This window comes from Homo sapiens, chromosome 3 (genome assembly GCF_000001405.40).
Source record: "Homo sapiens chromosome 3, GRCh38.p14 Primary Assembly".
In the NCBI taxonomy this organism is placed as follows: Eukaryota; Metazoa; Chordata; class Mammalia; order Primates; family Hominidae; genus Homo; species Homo sapiens.
In genome coordinates, this window is record NC_000003.12 from 185,066,877 (window position 1) to 185,088,885 (window position 22,009).

A 22,009-nucleotide genomic window follows, 5' to 3' on the forward strand; every position below is an offset into this window, starting at 1 on the left:
TTGTGATGTTACCTGCAGGAGTAACTGGGGAAGTTGCCCATCTGGTGGCCTCTGGAATAACGGCTGGCAATGGTCTATATCAACACCTTAGCAGACAGAATTCAGGCTCCTCTATCCTCCTAGCCTGGTGGTCTCTCATTAGCTAACGAGAGACCAAGTTGACTGTACAAAGGCAGTTGAGTATTGGGGAAAGGCTATTATTTAAACTAAAGTAAACATCTTCCAAAGTTAGCTTGGCCTAAGCACGGGAATAATTAAGGGTAGCTTGAAGGCCAAAGACAAAGTGAGGGTTGGCAGGCGAGATCTTCTACACTGCCGGAATTTTCTCACTGTTAACAAGTTTTGCAAAGGTGGTTTCAAATGGATGCGTCTATATCACACCTGAAGATAGTTACAGTCAATTTCCAGCTTCACGGAATTCTCCCCTGCGCCTTTTTCTTCCCTTTGAGCCTCCAGGATTGCTCAATCGTTCCCTTGGGCAAGACACTGGGCTGGCTGCGGTGAACACAAAAGGGAGCCGTACACAGCCCTGCCCTCAGGCACCTGCCGGCTGGGGAAGGACACGTTCAGCAGGAAACGCTCCCATAGCTCTTTAAGCATTTGTTTCTATTGTTATACTTTAGTTCTTAAAAAAGATGGCCTAGAGGTTCTTTGCTTTCAGGTTATACATTTGTTCAGGTGGGATGTATTGTCCCAACCTACCTCTATGTGACTTTGTTCATTTATTTTGGGCACTTTTAGAAGAGAATCTGGGCTTCGACCTTTGTGAAGATTCACTCTTACCAGGTGCTATTTGTCATAGCCTCTGTTTTCCATTCTGCTTTTTTCACATTTTATTATCCAAAGGGAGGTTTTTTGGTTTGGTTTTTTGAGACGAAGTCTCACTCTACTGCCCAGGCTGGAGCGCAAGGCTCACTGCAACCTCCACCTCCTGGGTTCAAGCAATTCTCCTGCCTCAGCCTCTCGAGTAGCTGGGATCACAGGTGCCCACCAGCACACCCGGCTAATTTTGTATTTTTAGTATTTTCACCATGTTGGTCAGGCTAGTCTCAAACTCCTTACCTCAGGTGATCCACCTGCCTCGGCCTCCCAAAGTGCTGGGATTACAGGCATGAGCTACTGCGCCCGGTCAGGTTTTTTTTTTTATATATGAAAACTCTGAAGTCCTCTTACTAGGAGCATTACCTTCCTCCTGATGGTATAAACGAGCACAGGTTTTCATGTTGCTATGGTTTGAATGTGTCTCCTCCAGAATTCAGGTGTTGAAACTTAATAGCCAATGTGTTAAGAGGTGGGGGCTTTAAGCGGTGATTAGAGTGTGAGGGCACCTCCCTCGTGAATGGTAATAAGGCCCTCATAAAAGAGGCTGCACATAGTATTCAGCTGGCTTGCCTGCAGCCAGCTGGCCCCCCGTTCCGGAAGATGCTGCAATCAGGCGCCATCCTGGAAGCAGAGAGCAACCCTCACCAGACAACTGAACCTGCTGGCACCTGGATCATGGACTTCCCAGCTTCCAGAACTGTGAGAAATTGAGTTTCTGTTCTTTATAAATCACCTAGTCTCAGATATATATTCTTGAGAGTCTTGCTCTGTTGCCCAGGCTGGAGTGCAGTGGTGCGATCTCAGCTCACTGCAACCTCCGCCTCCTGGGTTCAAGCGATTCTCCTGCCTCAGCCTCCTAAGTAGCTGGGATTACCGGTGTCCGCCGCCACGCCTGGCTAATTTTTGTATTTTTAGTAGAAACAGGGTTTTGTTGTGTTCGTCAGGCTGGTCTCAAACTCCTGACCTCAGGTGATCTGCCCGCCACAGCCTCCCAAAGTGCTGGGATTACAGGCGTGAGCCACTGCGCCCGGCCAGTCTCAGGTATTTTGTTATAGCAGCACAAAAACAGACTAAGACATGTTTTTATAGATATCTGCACATGTTTCTCAAGTTTGGGGTTTATTGAAGGGCCTGATGGGCGGTGTACGTCCAAGTTCCTGGTCTCCGTGACGTGGGCTAACTGTCCTAACATTAATCAAGAACTGAGCCAGGGAGGGTGAGTGGAGGTGGGGAAAGGGCCTCGGAGGGCTTTTCTGGCAGGAGGGGTGCCAGGCTGTGTGGTTCCTTCAGGACTTGGGGCCGCTGGCAGAGTTTCTGGCTTATGTGGCTCTCGGTCCAGGGGCATGTGGCAGGGACGGTGGGTGGGGTGGCATCTGGACACCACAACTGGCCCAGGCTTCTGCCCCACCTGGAACCCGTGTGTGCCAGCTTCTGGGTGTGTGTGCAGGCTCTGTTCAACTTGCTGGGCTTCCAGGCAGGGCCCGGGGCGAGGTTTCTGAACCAGCAGGGTTGAGAATCACTGTGGTTATCAGTCCAGCTCGGTTACACACCCCACCCGGCCTATCTGTGTGTAAATGGCCTAGACACCCTTTTTACAAGCTGTAATGAAGGATAATAGCAGCCACCAGCTGCAAACACCACTATGCACAGCCACTTTATTCTCCCCCAGTCACCTGGGAGGGTAGCTGCTATTATCTCCATTTTCCTCAGAAGGAATTGGCTTCAGAGACCTGCCAGCTAACGAGTTGTATTTGGAGCTTGGGGTGTGCGACTTCCAATTTACCTGGAATGAACAGTAAAAGCCTTACCGGGAAAGCATGTATTCCCGCAGAATGGCTGTGTGTAAGGGTGTTTAAAAGCTCCTGCCTAGTTCCCAGGGAGCAGCTCCCCACGCTCGCTCAGTGCCCGCTCAGAGGTGTGGCTGCGCAGGGGCCATCCAAGGGCAGCAGGAATCCACAACCCGCTTTCCCTGAAACGAGGCCCGCAGAACTTGTGAGAGAGGCCCGCTAGAGTGCACTGCCAGGGACCAGTTTGTAACCTGTGCTGTGTGTGTGGGAAGTCAGAGGCGCTGAGAAGGGCCTGCAGGTGGGAAAGGGCTGATTCTGCCAGACGAGGGTGCCCTGCAGGGGGTGCTGGTTGTCTAGGAGGACGCCCACCGTGGAGGGCTTCTCCTGGGCCACGTGTCTCGCGTGCCCTCTTGCAGCTGCTTTCCCAGCCCCTGAAGTGTGTGACGTACTAAAAGAAGCTGACCCCTGGGGTTATGCAGGTGCGGTCACATTCCCAGAGTGAGGACCGGGGAATCCTGGAAAAAATGACCAGCCTGTCTCCTACTCTGTTTAAAAAAAAAAAAATGTGTGTTGGGGAGGCCGGTGCTCCCCGCTGCGGGCTGCAGTGAGGATCTGCAGCCACTCTGTTGAATTCAGGCCCACAGTCAGAGCCTGTCGGTCAGTGGTTATTTCCTGAGTGCCAAGTATATGCCAGGCGCTGTCCTTTGCAATGGGGACAAGCAGGGAGTAGGTCAGACATGGTCTCCCCTCTGGAGGGGACAGAGGTGACACCCTGCCCACACAACACAGCCTGAGACATTGTGACGTGGAGGGTGTGCCGGCTGAGGGCACGGGAGGGACCTGAACCTGTGCAAAACTTTTCCTATTTTTAAAATTTGGACTCCTCCATCTTGCTTCTGATCTAATCTTTCATTTCTTTACCCAGCAAAGGAATAGAAAGAAAACAAAGTTCTCTGCAAGTCACCATTCCGCAGAAATCAGAGCAGATCCCTGCAGAAGTTGAGCAGCAGCTTAGAATGTTGGAGTCAGTGAATTCTAGCATCCAGGTGACCTCAGAGTTCACGGTGCCCCCTTCTCCCACCCAAACACAGGCACCAGACTTGGCCCCAGGGGCTGGGAAGGAGTGGGAGGGAGGCTCTGGGGTGAGTGTTCCAGGAAGCAGAGGACAGGAAGCATTCTGTGTCCAGCAGAGAGCTCTGCAGCCACCAGGGGCAGCTACGTTCTCAAGTGCTGTGTGCTCAGGGAAGAGTCTGCCCAGAGTAGAGATGGGCCCTGCTCAGCATCTGGCCGGGCATACAGAAGGCGAGGCTGAATTGGCAGGGCTGACACGGTGGGTCAGTGCGGGGACGACTCAATCAGCAGGGGAAGGGCTTCATGGAGTAGGCGGCACTGTCCTCCCCGCTGAGAAGGTAGACAGGGAAGGAGAGGCGACAGCCTGAGCTGAGCCCATCAGTGGGGAGTCACCTGCAGATGACAGGCCCATCCTGTACCCAGTCAGTTCTGACTTTACGGAACCCTTGTCATGGCGCTAACGTTGCTCTAATTCACGATTGTCCTGCTTTATTCTACGGAGCTCTGCAGGAGACATGTTTGTGGGAGAGGGTGGAGCAACTCGGCCTTCACACCCTAGCCAGTGGCGTGAAGGAGGCGGTGCTTGGAGGGACCCCTGGTGCCCCTGCATCTGCGCCTTCCTCCTGCCATCAGGGGGATGGAAACTCGCCCAGCTCTCCAGGAGGGGCAGTGTGGCCCACTGGGAAGAGCGAGGCACAGCCCCATCATGGCCCCTGTGTGAGCCGAACAAGGCACTGGGCCTCTGAAAAATACAGAACATAAAAGTGATGTTTCATCTGCAGCAAAGGTCCCAGCAACGTGTGGGAAAATGCTTTACAAAGGTCACATGTTACTTGTGGAAGAGGAAAGCCCACAGGGGCCTCATCAATGAACACTGCAGTGAATAAATCATTCAGAGCTTTGGGAATCCTTCTAGAAGCAGTGTATTTCCACTCAGCTCTGCTTGCTGAAAGTGTTTTTCCAAAGATGCAGCTCCAGAATCAGATGTCCGTGACTTGCCCAGAGCTGCAGGAAAGGCTTCCTGCGGTGCCATCTTCTGGCCAGGCGGGGCGGACTCCAGGCCCCCGGGGTGGGGGTCTGAGCTCCCAATGGGTGGCCCCAGCTGATCAGAGGCTCCATCCCAGGGGCCTCCTCTCTCAGGGCCATCCATGGCCATCTTTCTGCCACCAGTCTCCTCACACCACATCCTGGGTCCTCTCTAAAGCTTTCCCCAAGGAAAACGGCAGTTTGACACCTGTCCACCTGCTCCAGGGACACACCACACCTATGCCGAGGAAGCGAGTTTTCCCATCTCCACTCCTCCTGAGGGCAGGACTGTGTCTGGCTCACTCCTGTGTCATCCCTGGCACAGTCAATAGTTACCGAGTGCCAAGTATATGCCAGGCGCTTGGTGAGACAGAGTGCGTGTTGCTGTCCTTTAAGTCACTATCGAGTAAACTTATGAACAGAGCGTTCACAAACCATACGTGTACCACTAGCTTAACTCGCAATGTGAACACACCGGTGTCACCAGCACCCAGAGGTCCCCTGGATTCCTCCATCGCACCACACCCCTCATGTGAACCACGACCCTGATTACTAGTGTAGATCGTTGCGCCTGTCTGGAATTTGGTACCAATTGAGTTGTATATCAAGCCCCCCTTGGGAAATGGCTTCTTTCACTCAACGGTATGTCTGTGTGACTTATCCGTGTTATTCATCCTCATGGCTGAAGAGCATCCCACTGATTGGCTACACCATAGTTCATCCGTTCCATTGTTAGTGAGAATTCAGGTTGTTTCCAGTACTGGCCTGTTAATATTTTTGTTTCTGTCTTTTGGTGGCCGTAGGTGTCCATTTCTCGTGCTCAAGCGTGGCCGCTGGGTCTAAGAACTCATCTTGGGAATTGGCCTCGGGTCAGTTGTTGTTTTTTTTTTTTTTTTTTTTTTTTTGAGACGGAGTCTTGCTCTGTCCCCCAGGCTGGAGTGCAATGGCATGATCTCGGCTCACCACAACCTCCACCTCCCGGCTTCAAGCAATTCTTCTGCTTCAGCCTCCTGAGTAGCTGGGACTACAGGCGCCCGCCACCACGCCCAGTTAATTTTTGTGTTTTTAGTAGAGATGGGGTTTCATTATGTTGGCCAGGCTGGTCTCAACCTCCTGACCTTGCGATCCACCCACCTCAGCCTCCCAAAGTGCTGGGATTACAGACACGAGCCACCGCGCCCACCAGCTTGGCTCTTTAAGCAGCAGCTGCTCCGGTCTCCCTCCCTCCTACCTCCATTGGGATTGGGACCTTTGATACCAATTGCTTCCCTCAACTATTGCATGTCCTCAGTAGCATCCACTTTGGACTCGCCTCCCAGACCAGTCTACTTCAGGCGACTGTGTAGATCCTGACTGTCTGATTACCCGGCCACGACCCTCTCATATCTGCCTCAACCAGGACTCTGTGCAGTAAACAAAGGACTACATTTTCAGCCCTCATGTTTAGAAACTGCCTGTGTGAATTGCAATGCGAAAATTCACAGAGCAAATATAGGCACACCCATTTATCTGCAGAAGGACCTGGAAAAGCCATCCTGGTCCATGAGCATCACCACTCCAAGCAGTCGGACAGGACTCCGACTTAGGAATGATTTTTGCAGGGTCAGGGGGTAAATGTCATTAGTACCTTGTTGAATGCATACATGCCTGATGAATGAACAAGCCTCTACGGCTTCGGGGGCAACAGGATAGGCAAGATGGGACATGCTAGACATGTACTCGCATGCGCTCACATACTCAGTCTTTTCCTGAGCTTGACCCTAAGTGCAGGGCCTGTCATCTGCCTTCTGCCCCAGCTAGGGGTGTGGTTGGCTCTAGAGCCTGGCAGGGTCTGCTGTTGAGCTGCTAGGTGGGGCTGGGTTGGGTCCAGCCTAACTGGCCGGGTGCTCTGAGGGGACCTCAGCTTCACATTGAGGTTTTTGTTTTTTTTCTTTGAGACAGGATCTCACTGTGTCACATACACTAGAGTGTAATGGCACAATCATGGCTCACTGCAACCTCCACCTCCCAAGCTGAAGAGATCCTTCCACCTCGGCCTCCCAAGTAGCTGGGACTACGGGTGTGGACACTCGGCTAGTTTATTTTTTATTTTTTGCAGAGACGGAGGTCTCACTTTGTTGCCCAGGCTTAGTCTCAAACTCCCAGGCAAAAGCGATCCTCCTACCTCAGCCTCCCAAAGTGCTGGGATTACGGGTGTGAGCCACCACGCTGGGCTCACATTGAAGCACTTATGAGAGAAGCTGTAGTCCCCCATTCCAGACATCTGTTCCCTCAGATCCCTGTGCTTTGCCTATCTCAAAGGTCAGCATTGGGTCCTAGTAGTCTTGGGGTCCACATCCCAGCCCCTAGCAAACTTGGGCCTGATGGTTTGCCCAACCCAGCCTCTTCTTTTTTTTTTTTTTTTTTTGAAAAGACGGAGTCTCACTGTTGCCCAGGCTGGAGTGCAGTGGCATGATCTCAGCTTACTGCAACCTCTGCTTCCCATGTTCAAGCGATTCTCCTGCCTCATCCTCCTGAATAGCTGGGACTACATGTGCACGCCACCATGCCTGGCTAATTTTTGTATTTTTAGTAGAGGTACTGTTTCACCATGTTGGCCAGCATGGTCTCAATCTCCTGACCTCGTGATCCACCCACCTCAGCCTCCCAAAGTGCTGGGATTACAGGCGTGAGCCACCGTGCCCAGCCCAGCCTCTTCTCTCTAGATGAATGAGTCGGCCCATCCTCCTCCAGCATGCCCATAGCCCCCACCCCCACACCACCCCTGCCTCATCTCCACATGAGATGAGGTTTCCAGGTAACTGCCTCCCTTTATACTCACCGCTGCTGGCCTCTCCGTGACCCCATCAGTCCCTCTCTAAGTGGCATAATGTGGGCCCAGGTGACTCCCTGATTGACTCAGAAGGCACTGGATAGCTCTAGCAATTCACTGCCTGTGACCCTTGGAAATGATGATGGGGACAGCAAAAATCCCTTTGGGATAGGACTGACCTCTTTGGACCCCCAGTGATGTGAAAGGACCTCAGTGAATTCTAGCTGGACTGGCTGATCTTCCACTGGCCTCTTGGTGACTCGTCAGAGATCTCCACTGTGTGCCCCATGTTCATCCAGATATTTGGTTTCCCGAGGTATCTTCATTTGGTTTCCCCGGGAACCCCAAATATCTGACGTGCTTCCCACATACTCAGTGCAGCCTCTGAATTAGGCTGGAATTGCCTCATTATTCCAGGTTCTCAGGGAAAACACGCTCTGGGAATCCCCTGTTCAGCTCACACCTGGCCCACGGTGAACCTCCCCTCCTGGTACTGTGTGGCCTTCCCACTTTTCCCGAGAGCTCCGGAGTCCTGTCCGACCGCTTGGAGTGGTGATGCTCATAGACCAGGATGGCTTTTCCAGGTCCTTCTGCAGATAAATGGGTGTGCCTATATTTGCTCTGTGAATTTTGGCATTGCAACTCACACAGGCAGCTTCTAAACATGAGGGCTGAAATGTACTCTTGTTTACTGCACACAGTCCTGGTTGAGGCAGGTATGAGACACTCGTGGCCAGGTAATCAGACAGTCAGGATCTACACAGTCGCCTGAAGTAGACTGGCCCGAGAGGCAAGTCCAAAGCGGATGCTACTGAGGACATGCAATAGTTGAGGGAAGCAATTGGTATCAAAGGTCCCAATCCCAATGGAGGTAGGAGGGAGGGAGACAGGAGCAGCTGCTGCTGAAAGAGCCGACCTGGTGGGCGCGGTAGCTCACGTCTGTAATCCCAGCACTTTGGGAGGCTGAGGTGGGTGGATCACAAGGTCAGGAGGTCGAGACCAGCCTGGCCAACATAATGAAACCCCGTCTCTACTAAAAACACAAAAATTAACTGGGCGTGGTGGCGGGCGCCTGTAGTCCCAGCTACTCAGGAGGCTGAAGCAGAAGAATCGCTTGAAGCCGGGAGGTGGAGGTTGTGGTGAGCTGAGATTGTGCCACTGCACTCCAGCCTGGGCAACAGAGCAAGACTCCATCTCAAAAAATAAAAATAAAAATAAAAAAAAAGGCCGACCCGAGGCCAATTCCCAGGATGAGTTCTCAGACCCAGCGGCCACGCTTGAGCACGAGGTCATGCCTGTTCTCCGGACAGACTCAGATCCAGGTCAAGCCAGGCTGGCGCACAGAGTGATGTGGCACCAAGGGCAACCTCGGGCGATACCTGAGGGCTGAGCTGTAGTTCCCTCGAGGCAAGGGATGCCCTCGTGGCCTCAGCTGTGGGGCGAAGAGAAAATGGGCTGCAAAGCAGGGCAGGGTTTTGTTGCAGCGGCTCAACAAGTGGTAAAGCAGCAAGGCTGGCTTTGGAATCAGAAGTCTGGGGCTCTGACCTTGCCACTTCCTGCCGTGTGACCTTTAGAGTTAACTCTTGGCTGCTTCGCAAGAAACTCGCCAATATCCCTGCCCTGTCCACCACACAGAGTTGATGGGTCTAGCAGATAAGCTGCCATCTGGGAAGATGCTACGTAAACTGCAGGTCCCTGTTCAGACATTGTGGTGTTCTGCTGATCCACGATGCCTTGTATTTTGTCATCATCTTTGTCCTGGGAGGAATCACTGGGGTTTGACAACAGGTGACCAGCTAGGTGTCATACAGGGCCAGGATGGTCCCCCCGGATCCCAAGCTTTCTCATCTCCTATCTCGAGTCACACACAACTTCAGGCTGGGGACTGGGGAAGACAGGAAGAAATGAAGCCTCACCCCTTTCTCCAACCCACCTGGCCCATGAACTCTCCAGCCACGAAAGGGGTCACTCCTCCGTGGAGGCCCATTAGTTTCATGACGCACACTCCCAGCCCAGCTGCTAGTCTCTTCCAGCAGGTGCATGAGCAGGTTTGGCCACGGCCTCAACCCACTTTCAGGCACAGATCCAGCAAAATCAGACTCCATGTGTACTCACTGTCCTAGGAGTTGACATCGTCAAAATAACTTACTGGGTCGTTTCTGATTGTAAAAGTAATTGTATCTTCATTTCAGAAAAGTAGAAAATTTAAAACAAACACTATTAATCTTGGCACATTCCTTTTGCCTTTTTATTTCCATCAATTTCCCGTATCTCCCTGATTCCTGAAGAATTCCATCTGACCTCTAACTGCCCCTTCCTGACCCTACCGCAGGGAGGCTGAGTCCAGAGATCCTTCTTACTCCCTTCATTCAGCATAGAACTAGGGTGGGACAGTAAGGGTTAAGGGCATTACCAATTCCCAGTGACTGAATTGTAATGAGGATGAGATGCTAAATTAAAGTTTATTGCAGAATAAAAGTGTGTGCAGTCAGCATTTGTAAGAGGCTACAATGAGATGCCTTCTAGGACTTGGCAATACAATTAGGTAGAGAGTTAAAACAGTAGAGTGCACACGCAGATGAGATGCGCTGTCTGCAGGAATCACTTTAAAAGATCAGTTAGCTTTAGGAAAGGCAGAGCTAGTCTTGAATGCTAGTCAAGAGGTGATTAAACATGGAAGAAGCAATGGCCTCATCAGAGCATAGAGATATTTGCAGAGACATGGTATAGGGTGCGGGGTGGGGGGGCACTGTATGGAGGACAGAGAAGGGGACAAAGAGGGAAGCCTGTCAGTGTTTCTCCTCCACTGTGTTGGGACCAGGTGCACTGAGGTAGACGAGGCACTAGTCTGTGGGAAGGTATCTGCTGGGTTAGGGGGATGGAGTAATGCAGACAATGGGCCAAGAGTGCGGACTCTAGAGCCAAAGTGACCGGGTTCAAACCCTGACTGCCACTCATGTACGAGCTGTGCCACACTGGGTAAAGATGTGGACTTCTTGAGCTCTTTTCCTGATCTGTGAAATGGGGCTGCTTTAATCTCCCTCACAGGGTTGCTGTGGAGATTATGCATAGAAAGCTTAAGGTAGCCATTGAACTATAATTAATATTAACAAGGATTTTATTACTGATAATGACTTTATTTAGCAGTTCCTAGGAAGGTTGTTCAATAGACTCCAACCCTTGAAGCTGTTCTTTTCTGAGTATGGACTTGCCGCGCTGAGGCCTGGCCCCTGAGTCTTGGTGACCAAGCGACCCCCCCAAGCTCTGCCGGGCAGCAGCCTCCCTCGATGCCTGATCTTCAGTTAGAACTGCAGCCAACACTGCCCCACATGACACGTGTAAGCCGAACAGAAAGGCTGTAACTGCGTGTGAAATAAATGCTATTTGGTGGTGGTGGGGGGGGGGTATCAAGTTTTATTTGCTATAAACCCAATGTAGCCAGAGTTCTGGGAGTTATCATGAGTGGTGACTCTGAGTAGATACTGCGGACAGTACAGTTTATCTGCACCTCATTGAGGTCTTGTAAAGGTTTAATGGGGTAATGGCCATACGCTATTTCCTAGCACGTAGGAAAGACCTGATATATAAATGTTTCACACTTTGCAAACGTGAGTTTTGGTTTTGGGGTTGGGTACACTCCAAAACAGCAGATTTGTTCTGGTATAAAAGAAAAAAAAAATCACGTTTATTTTACAAGGCAGTTATTTTCCTAAAGTGTTACATATCAAGGAAAGTTGAGCTGTCTGTAGGAAAACAATATAATTTTAGGAAATTACAGAAGAGTCAACATTGTGCTTAAAACTTTAAAATAGTTTTTAAAAATAGCAGAGTAAGTGAATATTGCCAGGTATGAACAGCCTTAAAAAGTGAGGTGGACACAACGATATAGAAGCTCAATATTAAAGCCGCTAGTGATAAGTCGCTTTGAGAAGTGTTCAGGCTACTAAGAGAACACTGCTTCAACCTTAATCGAAAAAAGAAGTCATAGCACTAACTGAAACATGGCCTTTTCCTAGAACAGCTAACTCTCAGTTATCTACAGTAATGAAAAAGAGCAGTGACAATTTTTAAATGGTGAATAATTCCAAAATTAATGTTGAGAAGTGCCCTATTTCTGTGTTGATGTGAGAGACACTGATATCCGGGAACTTACAGCACTGACCACGTGTGTGGAACTCCCACTGGCTTCCCCCTTCTTCCCTCCTCCTCAGTGGGAGAGGACAAAATCGTACTACTGAAAAGCCTAAAATATAACTGGCCTCCTCAGTTCTGGTTCACACCTCCTCTGGAGAAGGGGACAGAAGAGAAAACTGTTAAAACTTTGTTTTCCTCATGTAAAAAAGCCAGAACGTGACCATAAAATTTTGCAAACAAGATGTGGGAATATTAAGAGCTGACTGTAGAAATATTTTAACTTGTGCTTTTTCTCCTGCCCAGTAGTATCTGTACCACTAAACTTAGATCTATGGACAGCTTTATAAATTATCCAGGTGCACCTATTACCCAAGTCAAGAATTAAATTAGCATAAAAGGGGTTTGTTATCGGTCCCAAAATACTTGTGATGGTTCAAATAGACCAAGAAGTGGAGGATTAGAAGTAAAGCCGGCCGGGCGTGGTGGTTCACGCCTGCAATCCCAGCACTTTGGGAAGCCGAGGAGGGTGGATCACGAGGTCATGAGATCAAGACCATCCTGGCTAACACGGTGAAACCCCGTTTCTACTAAAAATACAAAAAATTAGCGAGGCATGGTGGCGGGCACCTATAGTCCCAGCTACTCAGGAGGCTGAGGCAGGAGAATGGCATGAACCTGGGAGGCAGAGCTGGCAGTGAGCCGAGATCGCGCCACTGCACTCCAGCCTGGGTGAAGGAGCGAGACTCTGTCTCAAAAAAAAAAAAAAAAAAAAAAAAGTAAAGCCACCACTCCCAAGATAGAATCAAATCCAAAAAGTATTTCAGGAAAGCAACTACGTTGTTTTGTTCTGCTCTTGGTGCTTTTGTTTTTGTTTTATTTTGTATTGTATGACCTTGAATTACAAGTCTTCCCCTCCCAGGAAAGGACTGTTCTTCAGGGCTGTCCTCAGATTCTTATTTCATATCTTAAAAATGACATAGTAAAAAAGACCTAGATGTGATAGTAAACCCTTATTTTTTAATATACCAAACAGTTGTAACCACAAAAGCACTGTAATCATCATTTCTTGGAAAAGTTATAAGCATATTTGAAACTTGAAACTTCTAAAATCTTGGTTAGAGAAGAAAACTAAATTCTACATTTAGTGGAATTAAGCTTCTACCTAATAGCTTTTATACCAACTTTCCAAAAGTAGGAGTGGTACCAGGTTTCCATGTAAACCCAAGAAAGCAGTTTATCCATCCACACAGCCCAACCCTTGCTCCAATGAGCATATTACTGGGTCCAAAGTATACAGCTTTCATATCTGTCAGTCAGTGTGCAAGTGTTAACCACTTCATGTGACTGAGTTCAATGTTATAGTGCATGTTGCAGTCTAAACATTTTCTAAAGTGTCTGTAAGTACACAAATTAGCAACATAGTATCAGCGTTACAGAGAATTCCTTCACATAATATAGAACAGGCCTAGAATTTAAAGTGAAACTACAATCTGTTTCAGTTGGTTTTGGAATGCAAGCATAAAGAAACAATTCCAGTTCAATAACATATTTCAGAGTGTTATCAACAGTGCTAGGACAAAAATAAATCTTGTGCTTATTTAGAAAAGGTCATTTTGAGATCCAGGAGTGTCTGATGCTTAGAATCCAATGGAATGTCTCTAATTCTATATAGTAGATAGTAGCAAGTGAAGCTTAGCGAGTTTTTAATTATAAAGAGATTGTGCAAATACATAAGGTGATTATCAACTATTATTAAATCCAAAAATTCCATTAAAATTGTGTCTAATCAGAATGGCAGTTCAGGAGTCTAAAAAAACAGGAACCTAGACAGAAGTCTTAGATGGTACTGAGAGACGGCCCAAGCCTGCCACTGAGCCAGCTGCAGAAATGTGGCCCCGTGACCACGTATATCCATGGCTTTAGAAATCTGGTTGACTCCATTGGCTTAGTGGTGGGAATGTGGGCCTGTACGGAACATTGACAGGAACGGTGTAGAGGAGAAAGCCCCTTTATACGCCCATCTGGAGAACGGGCTCACCCACAGGGTGAATCTAGACAGGGCCCTGGTGTTGCTGTTACAAACCTGAGTGCGTGATGCATGACTGCACTGCTGTGGCCTGACACACGGCTTGCAGGCATTTGGCTTCCACACCTGCCTTCAGTGAGCCACTCATGCACGGGAGGCACCGAGAACCTCGGGCAGGGTTCATCAGATGTCCCTGTGCCACCTGAGCCATGCCCTGGCAGGGGGAAGCTCCTCATGCTCACACCTGCCTCCAACTGCCCTCTCCTGGGCCTTTCCTAGAGCTCCTCTGACCCCCTTCTCGGTTTGTCTTGTTGAATCTTTAAATTTCAGTAAGTGGAGACTTTATGCCGCATTCTCATTTAGCATAGAAAGTTTTAACTCATACTGTTTGCAAAGGAAAATGTATACTCTGCCTTCTAAACCATATAGATGTCTTGGCCATCTAAACCTAAAAAAAAGTTCTATCTAGTAAACGACTTAAATTATACATACAACTGGGAAAGCAAATTCTTCCTTGAGTAGTTTGTGAATGATGCCAAATGGAGGCTTCAGGGGAGAACACAACTTTTTCTTACAAATCCGGCCGGGCGTGGTGGCTCATGCTTGTAATCCCAGCACTTGGGGAGGCCGAGGTGGGTGGATCACAAGGTCAGATCGAGACCATCCTGGCTAACATGGTGAAAGCCCGTCTCTACTAAAAATACAAAAAATTAGCCAGGTGTGGTGGCACGTGCCCATAGTCCCAGCTACTCAGGAGGCTGAGGCAGGAGAATCGCTTGACCCCAGGAGGCAGAGGTTGTAGAGAGCCAAGATCACGCCGCTGCACTCCAGCCTGGGCAGCAAGAGGGAAACTCCATCTCAAAAAAAAAAAAATTAATGTGACGTAGAGATGTACCATAATGGTGCCAGAGCACAAGGGAATCTCAGAGCACAATGGCCTGAGAGTGCGCTTCTGGATAGTTAGGATGGAAGTACTGTTCTGTCTCCAACTCTGATGTTCTCATTAGGCCATACTTAAAATTTCCAGGATTTGAAACTATGCCTCATGGATAGAAGGTTTGGAGAAATAGCAGTTAACTGACTCACAAGAATACCTGGTATAAATGGAGAGTAGAAGTAGAATTCTGAAGAGAGCTAAATAAGAAAGAATTAGTCACTATTTTGTGCATGTGAGGGGAGAGAACACATACAACAGACAGACTGTGTGGGAAAGTGAATGGCTATTACACTGGATATTTTCTCCTGACTTAGCAGCAAACTATTTCAACTGCTTTTGCAGCTGCATAAAAATCCATGCATCACACTGAATTCTAATCCATTCCTCACTTAAACCATACGAATGCTTCATACAACCAAATGAAGCAGAATTAATCAAACCTATTAGATTCAGTCCTAATCCCTAAAGGGCTTCTGTCTGTAGCATTTCCATGCTAACTAAAACTATTAATTTATTTTTTTTCCTTAAGATGTCAGATGTGGCTGCCACCTAAATGTGATACCTATATAACTTCCTAAGAGTTTTTCCCAGACTTGAAGAACAATTAAAAGCAGAAAAATGTTGGGGAACCCACCAAGAAGCCAGCTCAAATGCTGAAACACATTCCCCAGCTAGCCCCAGCCAAGTAAACCTCATCCTTCCCCTGGGTTCCCAGAGCTTTTTGGGTGCCATGAGTTGAATGTGTCATATATAGGACTGTGGGCCCCTTCATGGTGGGAATCAGGTCTTATTCATGCTGTGTCCCCACAGCCCCCTGCAGGGGACAGGTGCTCAGCTAAGGCTGGATTGAGCATGAGACAGATGAGGTCATCTCTTCTCATGTGAATGTTTAGCTCAGCCCCAGTCACGGAGCCTTGTACAGACACTGGCCACAAACCATGGGCTGAGCTGGCCTCCAGTGACCTCCCAGAAGTAAGCCGAGGCAGCTCTGATCCAGACCCAGTGCAGGTGTGGGGAGAAGGGGAAGGGAAGAAACGGCATCTACCAGTGCACACTCAGTAGGGAGTGCTACTTGCGTAGGACAAGCAGGACAGGACGGGAGTGCCTGTGAACATGCCAAAGGGAATGGCAAGAGTCTCTGTGAAGGACTGGCTACCGAGAAAACACCGGCTCCTTCCCTTTCGGTACCTCCTCAATCTGATCCAAGATTCTCTGCGACCATCACTTCACCGCCTTCAAATCTCCCAGTGAAATTAAGGCGGGGTCACAATTCATGACACCAGATGCTACATAGAAAGTAAGTCAGGATACAAAAGAAAACTGTTTATAATAAAAAGAATGTCTTAGTTGTAAGACGGAGAGAAGCTAATCAGCATACCACTGAACTGCTACGGTTGTTGGTTGGAGCGGGGCGGGGTGGGTAGAAAATATCAACAGCATTGGAAAAAAGGATCCACCAGACAAAGGTACAAAAGCTCGGCGTGGGTCCGAGGCTGTGGCTTCCTGTCTGGACTCTCACACAGTCGTTTCTATCGTTTCAATCACTTCCAGGTCAGACTGCGAGGGGGAGAGAAGGGTGCACTCATCCGGTTCCCAGCTGCTCTCTGGACTGTAATCTTCCTCTGAACTCAGTTCTGCTCCTTCTTCTGTGTCCTCGTCACACGATTCCACATAGTGAGCCCCAATCGCATTGATCCCAGAGTCCTCAGAACTTGAGGGAGAAGAGCAGTGATCTATTTTTGGTGTATTGCTCTCTTTTGAAATTAAGGCATCGTGTGCAGAGACCTCCTCAGGGCTCATTCTGTGGGAATGTGGTGCCGGCTGCTTCTGCACATAACACATCTTCCCATTAATACATTTAACCTGATAGTTGTCAATAAAAAGGTCTGAAATCATACAGTACCTCGGTGAGTCAGGGGGAAGGGGAGGCTGGAAGACAGATGCAAATTTCAAAAAGTGTTCGGTGAGCGAGACTGAGATCTGAATGGTGTTTGTGGGTTCCCGAGGCCTGGCAGGAATCTCAGTGCTTGGAAGCTGTTCCACAGGGGTCATAGGCTGATACATGTATTTGCCTGTGAAGACACAAAAAGACACTTGAAATCTATATTACACAAACTATATTAACATGGCCATAATGGTTTCTGAGGACTCAATGTCTTTAAAAATATTTCAGTAACACCTCAAAAGAAACTAGTAATAAAATCATTCAACATTGGTATAGTCAATGAAAAAGTCAGCATGGTATATAATAATTTTCATCTAAAAGACTCAATCGACTTTCTAAATCTCAATTTATATTTGTGTCTTTCTGATATCTCTGAAGTAGGTGGATAGACACTATAATCCTTATTTTACAGACAACTTTAAGTAATTTACTCATTATACTAGAACAAAAAAGGTCCACAATATAGCATGGTAAAAAATACAAGTTGTACAGCCGGGCGCAGTGGTTCACGCCTGTAATGTGCAGATCACTTTAGGTCAGGAGTTCCAGACTAGCCTGGCCAACGTGGCAAAACCCTGTCTCTACTAAAAACACAAAACGTAGCTGGGCATGGTGGCACACGCCTGTAATCCCAGTTACTCGGGAGGCTGAGGCACGAGAATCCCTTGATCCAGAAGCGGAGGTTGCAGTGAGCCGAGATCGTGCCACTGCACTCCAGCCTGGGCGACAGAGTGAGACCCTGTCTCAAAAAAAAAAACAACCAAGTTGTAAAACAGTATAATGTACTGTAAAATTATAATTCCATGTTTATCTCTAATAATGTTTGTGTTAATGTATATATTTTTCCAGTTTTTAAATGTATGTAAGTTTATCATCAGAATTATGGGAGATTTTCACTTTCCAGGTGTCTATGTTCTAATTATAAGATACATACACCTACATATTTATTTAATAGGTAGTGGCCCACTGGATTGTCCCGGCCACCCTCAATGACTGGGGTAAAGTTTAGGGTGGGAAATGGTTTCTCTGAGGACCAAAGCTCATCAGTGGCCTAATCAGGAGGTGTCTCCCCCGCACCCCTCCCCGACACCAATTCCACTGGCACTAAGCGACCTAAGCCAAGCAGAAGCAAAGGGCAAACACACAGAGGGATGCAGAGGACACCCTGCTGGATGTTTCTAGGAAGCCCACAAGCTTATCTCCAAGCCTTCCTCTCTGCTCTGAGCCCTCAACTGTTTCCCACATAGTTGACATGGAAGTAAAACCTAAATGGATTTGGTCCTCATCCCATTTTTCATTCAACATCTAGCAAAGCCTCCCACACGCTAAGGAAATAGGGCTGAAAATATCCAATCTGTAAGTCTAAAGTGATTTCAAAACAAAAAGCTAAAGCAGGGATGGGGGCTCCTAAAAATCCCAGAGACAAGTAGCCACAATTGTGGGCATCATTTTGAATTTTTCCTAATTTAGCCAATTTATCGGTTCATGTTGTATCTTCTGCACATTGTTGACAGGGCTTTTAACCTTAGCACTACCTGCATTTTGGACCAGATAATTCTTCATCGTGGTGGGGAGGGGTGCTGTCTATCCTAGGCAGCATCCTCGGCCTCTCCCCACTAGATGCCAGTAGCAGCTCCTTCTCAAATGAGACAAATTCCCCAACGGGTGAAATCACCCTGATTAAGAACCAGTGATTTATGGTATCTTCATGAGCATCTTTTTGCAGGCGAATTACTCATGTGTATGGTACTTGCTCCTGTTTATTTCTTTGTCAGACTGGAAATCCTAGGACAGGAATCACATTTGTAAGGAAAACTAGCTTAGGTTTTATAATGTTAATGATGCCACAGGAGAGTAGCAATTTCAGATTAGAAATGAAGTAGTAAAGAGGCCACAAATCATGCAACATCAGTAATCTCTTAAGATCAATCAAGCCTGCTTATATTTTTTGTTTTTTGACTCCTGCACAAAAAAGCCACTCAGGTACCACAATTTCTTTATAACCAAATTACTCTAAAAAGACCTTCATTTTCATCCTGGGGTACCATATGAAAAAAGTACATTTAAAGTCGTTAAGCCTCTGGGTTCCCAGGGTGCTTCCAAGCCTGGACGTACCTCATGCAAACCCCGCAGTCTGATAAAAACGCATTGAGAAGAACCCAGTCACACCTGCCTGGGGGAACTATGTTTAAAATATACCAGGCGTCTTCATTTCTCCAGCTCTTTAAAAGGTAATTACTACTTGTCAGGCAGAGTTAAAATCAGGTCAGATGTAAGAGGTGGTATGGTAGGACCTCTGCCCCTAAGCACTGTGGACACTATCGGCTGAAGGGCTAAAGAAGGCTGACCTTTAAGCCTCCCTCCAGACCCTCCAGCCCCAGGATTAGAGCAATGTATGGGCACGGGATAGAGAACGGACTTAGAGAACCTGGGGAACTACTCTTCTGTCCACAGAGTGGTAAATAAAACGCGGAATGAAGGTTTCGTCTTTTTCATTCTTGGCTGGTAGTTACTGAGCTCAGGAGGCTGTGGAAGGCAGGCAGTCAAGATGTGCTTGTTGTATATGCTGATTAGGTTCATCCTGCCCTAAGTAACCTGTGGTTTAGTTATCCACTGTCACAGCCACAGGAGGATCCTCGTAGTTGATTCATGCCTTCCAGAACCATCCTCAGATCCAGAGGGAACAAGGCTTTATTTGTCCAAAGATAGAGGGAAAAGGTGAAGCCCGGCTTTGGGACTTTCCTCACTCCATCTCTTTTTTTTTCCTTCCCCTCCTTTATGCTTCTTCATAATTTCTTTGCTTTCTTTCCTCTTGGTTCTACTCTTTCTCTGGTCCCCACTCATCCAAAGCTCTGTTTTTCTTTCTTGAAAGTGTAGTGCTGTGGACTGAATGTTTGTATCCCCACGAACTTCATGTTGAAACCCTAATCCCCAGTGTGATGGTATTTGGGGGTGAGGCCTTGGAGGAGTACTTAGGTTTAGATGAGGTTTAGAAGGTGGAGGCTCTAATCATTGGTTTAGTGCCCTATGAGAAGAGGAAGAGACCAGATCCCTTTCTCCTCTATGTGAGGGTACAGCATCTGCAAACCAGGATGAGCGTCCTCATCAGACACTGACTTCTGCCTCACTCTTAGAATTCTCAGCTTCTAGACTGTGAGAAATACACGTTTGTTGTTTAAGCCACCCAGTCTGTGGTATTTTATTATAGCAGCCCAAACTGACCAGGACATGTAGTAAGAGAGAAATGCAGCTGGGTGAGGAAGATGTGAACCAGATTCCACTTCTTTCTACAAGGTACGTCTATTAAATGTGTTTACTCAGAGCGAGGGTGAGAGCCTATTATCTGGTGATATGGGGATGCAAAGAAAGAGAGGAGGAAAATAGTAAAGATGGCCACATAAAAAAACAACCTTTAGTAATCACCTTTGAAATATCAATCATTACATAATACTATATTGTTTATAAACACAGAAATAATTAAACTCAAAGATATAGTTTTATAGGGCTGTGAAGGGTTAGTGCTTTGCTCCAGTCCCTGATAACTTATATCCCTGGGGTATCCTAGGCCGAGAATCCATGTTCACATAGCTCCGAGGCACTGCAAGATCCTGAATTATCAGATTCAATTATGTTTACTATGAGAATAAAATGAACACACTTCTTCAACAGCAAGGATTGAAACGGGTTTCTGGCGATTTAGCCAAGAAATTCAATAACCACTATATTCTCTGAACAATCGTAATTAAGGGTTTACTGTGTTAAAGAATAAATGGATGAGAACTTTTAAAACCTAAAGCTCTAAAAGGAAAAGATACTCAGAGTGAGGGCTCAGAGAAAAAGAGAGCAAAAGGAGCATCAGTTTGATCCAGCAATTCCACTTTTGGGTACACACCCAAAAGAATGGAAAGCAGAGTCTCAGGGATATTTGAATATCCATGTTCACAGCAGCATCACTGGCAATATGCAAAAGCTGGAAGCAACACAAGTGTCCATGATGGATGAACAGATAAACAAGAGGTCATATACACGTAAAATATATTAGCCTTTAAAAGGAAGGAAATCCTGACCCATGCTACAACTAGATGAACCTTGAGGACACTATGCTAAGGGAAATAAGCCTGTCACAGTAAGACAAATACTCTGATTCCACTTGCTTGATGTATCTAAAGTAGTCAACTCATAGAAACCGAAAGCAAGAGTGGTGTTTGCCAGGGACTGGGCATACGGGGGGATGGGGAGTTGTTGTTTAATGGGTAGAGTTTGAGTTTTACAAGATGAAAAGAGATGTGGAGATGGATGGTAGTGATGGTTGCACAATATAAATGGACTTAACACCACTGAACTGTACACTTAAAAATGGTTAAGATGGTAATTATGTATATTTTACCAAAATTTACCAAGAAAATGAGTGGCCTGAGGTAAACTGCATGCATAGTTCAGTTCTTTGACTTTATGTATTTTAAATTAGTTTTATACATTTTTTTTTTTTTTTTGAGATGGAGTCTCTCTCTGCTGCGCAGGCTGGAGGGCAATAGCACGATCTTGGCTCGCCGCAACCTCCGCCTCCTGGGTTCATGCGATTCTCCTGCCTCAGCCTCCCGAGTAGCTGGGATTACAGGCATGCGCCACCATGCCCAGCTAATTTTGTATTTTTGTTAGGGACGGAGTTTCTTCACATTAGTCAGGCTGGTCTCAAACTCCCGACCTCAGGTGATCCACCCGCCTCGGCCTCCCAAAGTGCTGGGATTACAGGTGTGAGCCACTGTGCCCGGCTATACTTTTAAATTAGTATAATTCACTGTATTAACAGACTACAGGGAAAAAACCCATATGATCTGGAATATTTAAAGAATTCTTGCCACTCCATAATGAGAAAACAACCCAATTTTCTTAAAAAGGGGTGTGGCTACATAAGAGTAAGACTGAGGTATCTTTACAGTGATGGAAATGTTCTGTATCTTGCCTGTATTCATGTCAACACCTTGGTTGTGACACTGTACTACTGTTTTGCAACTTAATTGCCATTGGGGGGAACTAGGCAAAGGGCACATGACGGCTCTGTATTTCTTAAAATTTTATATAAATCTATGATTTTTTTTCAAAATGTATAATCTAAAACAACAGGGAAATAATCACCATAGATGTGATGACACACCCTTTTTTGGTGTATTGTATTAGGAGGTACATGCTGTTGATAAACTTCGTTACAGGTGATGTTTATTAACTTTGTGGTGCCTGTCTAGGTTTCTTCATTATAAAGTTACTATTTTTCTCTTTGTAAGATATTTTAGGACTGTGCAAATATCCTGTTTGTCACCATACTTTCACCAATTTTAGCATGGATAGGTGGCTCTTGTCTGCAACAAATATTACTGTGGTGTTTGCCAAACTGATTTTTTTTAAACCACACACCATGATTCTTCAGATTTTCTATTTACGTCATTCCTTC

The 22,009-nt window shown here is 47.1% G+C and overlaps 1 protein-coding gene across 1 annotated transcript in view, besides 5 other annotated features; it reads right to left on the reverse strand.

Moving 5' to 3' along the window:
* Positions 2,544-3,044: an enhancer, noted in NCBI's record as "H3K4me1 hESC enhancer chr3:184787208-184787708 (GRCh37/hg19 assembly coordinates)". NCBI's record gives its function as "activates a minimal SCP1, AML or CMV promoter by ChIP-STARR-seq in primed H9 embryonic stem cells {active_cell/tissue: H9 hESC(primed)}" and the evidence as "EXISTENCE:reporter gene assay evidence [ECO:0000049][PMID:30033119]".
* Positions 4,120-4,327: a silencer, noted in NCBI's record as "fragment chr3:184788784-184788991 (GRCh37/hg19 assembly coordinates)". NCBI's record gives its function as "represses an EF-1alpha promoter that drives an FKBP-Casp9 reporter gene in an ReSE screen in phorbol 12-myristate 13-acetate-treated (for megakaryocytic differentiation) K562 erythroleukemia cells {active_cell/tissue: K562(+PMA)}" and the evidence as "EXISTENCE:reporter gene assay evidence [ECO:0000049][PMID:32094911]".
* Positions 8,240-8,740: an enhancer, noted in NCBI's record as "H3K4me1 hESC enhancer chr3:184792904-184793404 (GRCh37/hg19 assembly coordinates)". NCBI's record gives its function as "activates a minimal SCP1, AML or CMV promoter by ChIP-STARR-seq in primed H9 embryonic stem cells {active_cell/tissue: H9 hESC(primed)}" and the evidence as "EXISTENCE:reporter gene assay evidence [ECO:0000049][PMID:30033119]".
* C3orf70 (chromosome 3 open reading frame 70) overlaps positions 9,962-22,009 on the reverse strand; it is a 76,223-nt gene continuing 64,175 nt past the window's right edge. Inside the window, exon 2 of the mRNA NM_001025266.3 lies at positions 9,962-16,687. Coding sequence (NP_001020437.1) covers positions 16,131-16,687 — 557 coding nt within the window. The 3' untranslated portion in view covers positions 9,962-16,130. The remainder of the gene's footprint in view (positions 16,688-22,009) is intronic.
* Positions 13,291-13,792: an enhancer, noted in NCBI's record as "H3K4me1 hESC enhancer chr3:184797955-184798456 (GRCh37/hg19 assembly coordinates)". NCBI's record gives its function as "activates a minimal SCP1, AML or CMV promoter by ChIP-STARR-seq in primed H9 embryonic stem cells {active_cell/tissue: H9 hESC(primed)}" and the evidence as "EXISTENCE:reporter gene assay evidence [ECO:0000049][PMID:30033119]".
* Positions 13,793-14,292: an enhancer, noted in NCBI's record as "H3K4me1 hESC enhancer chr3:184798457-184798956 (GRCh37/hg19 assembly coordinates)". NCBI's record gives its function as "activates a minimal SCP1, AML or CMV promoter by ChIP-STARR-seq in primed H9 embryonic stem cells {active_cell/tissue: H9 hESC(primed)}" and the evidence as "EXISTENCE:reporter gene assay evidence [ECO:0000049][PMID:30033119]".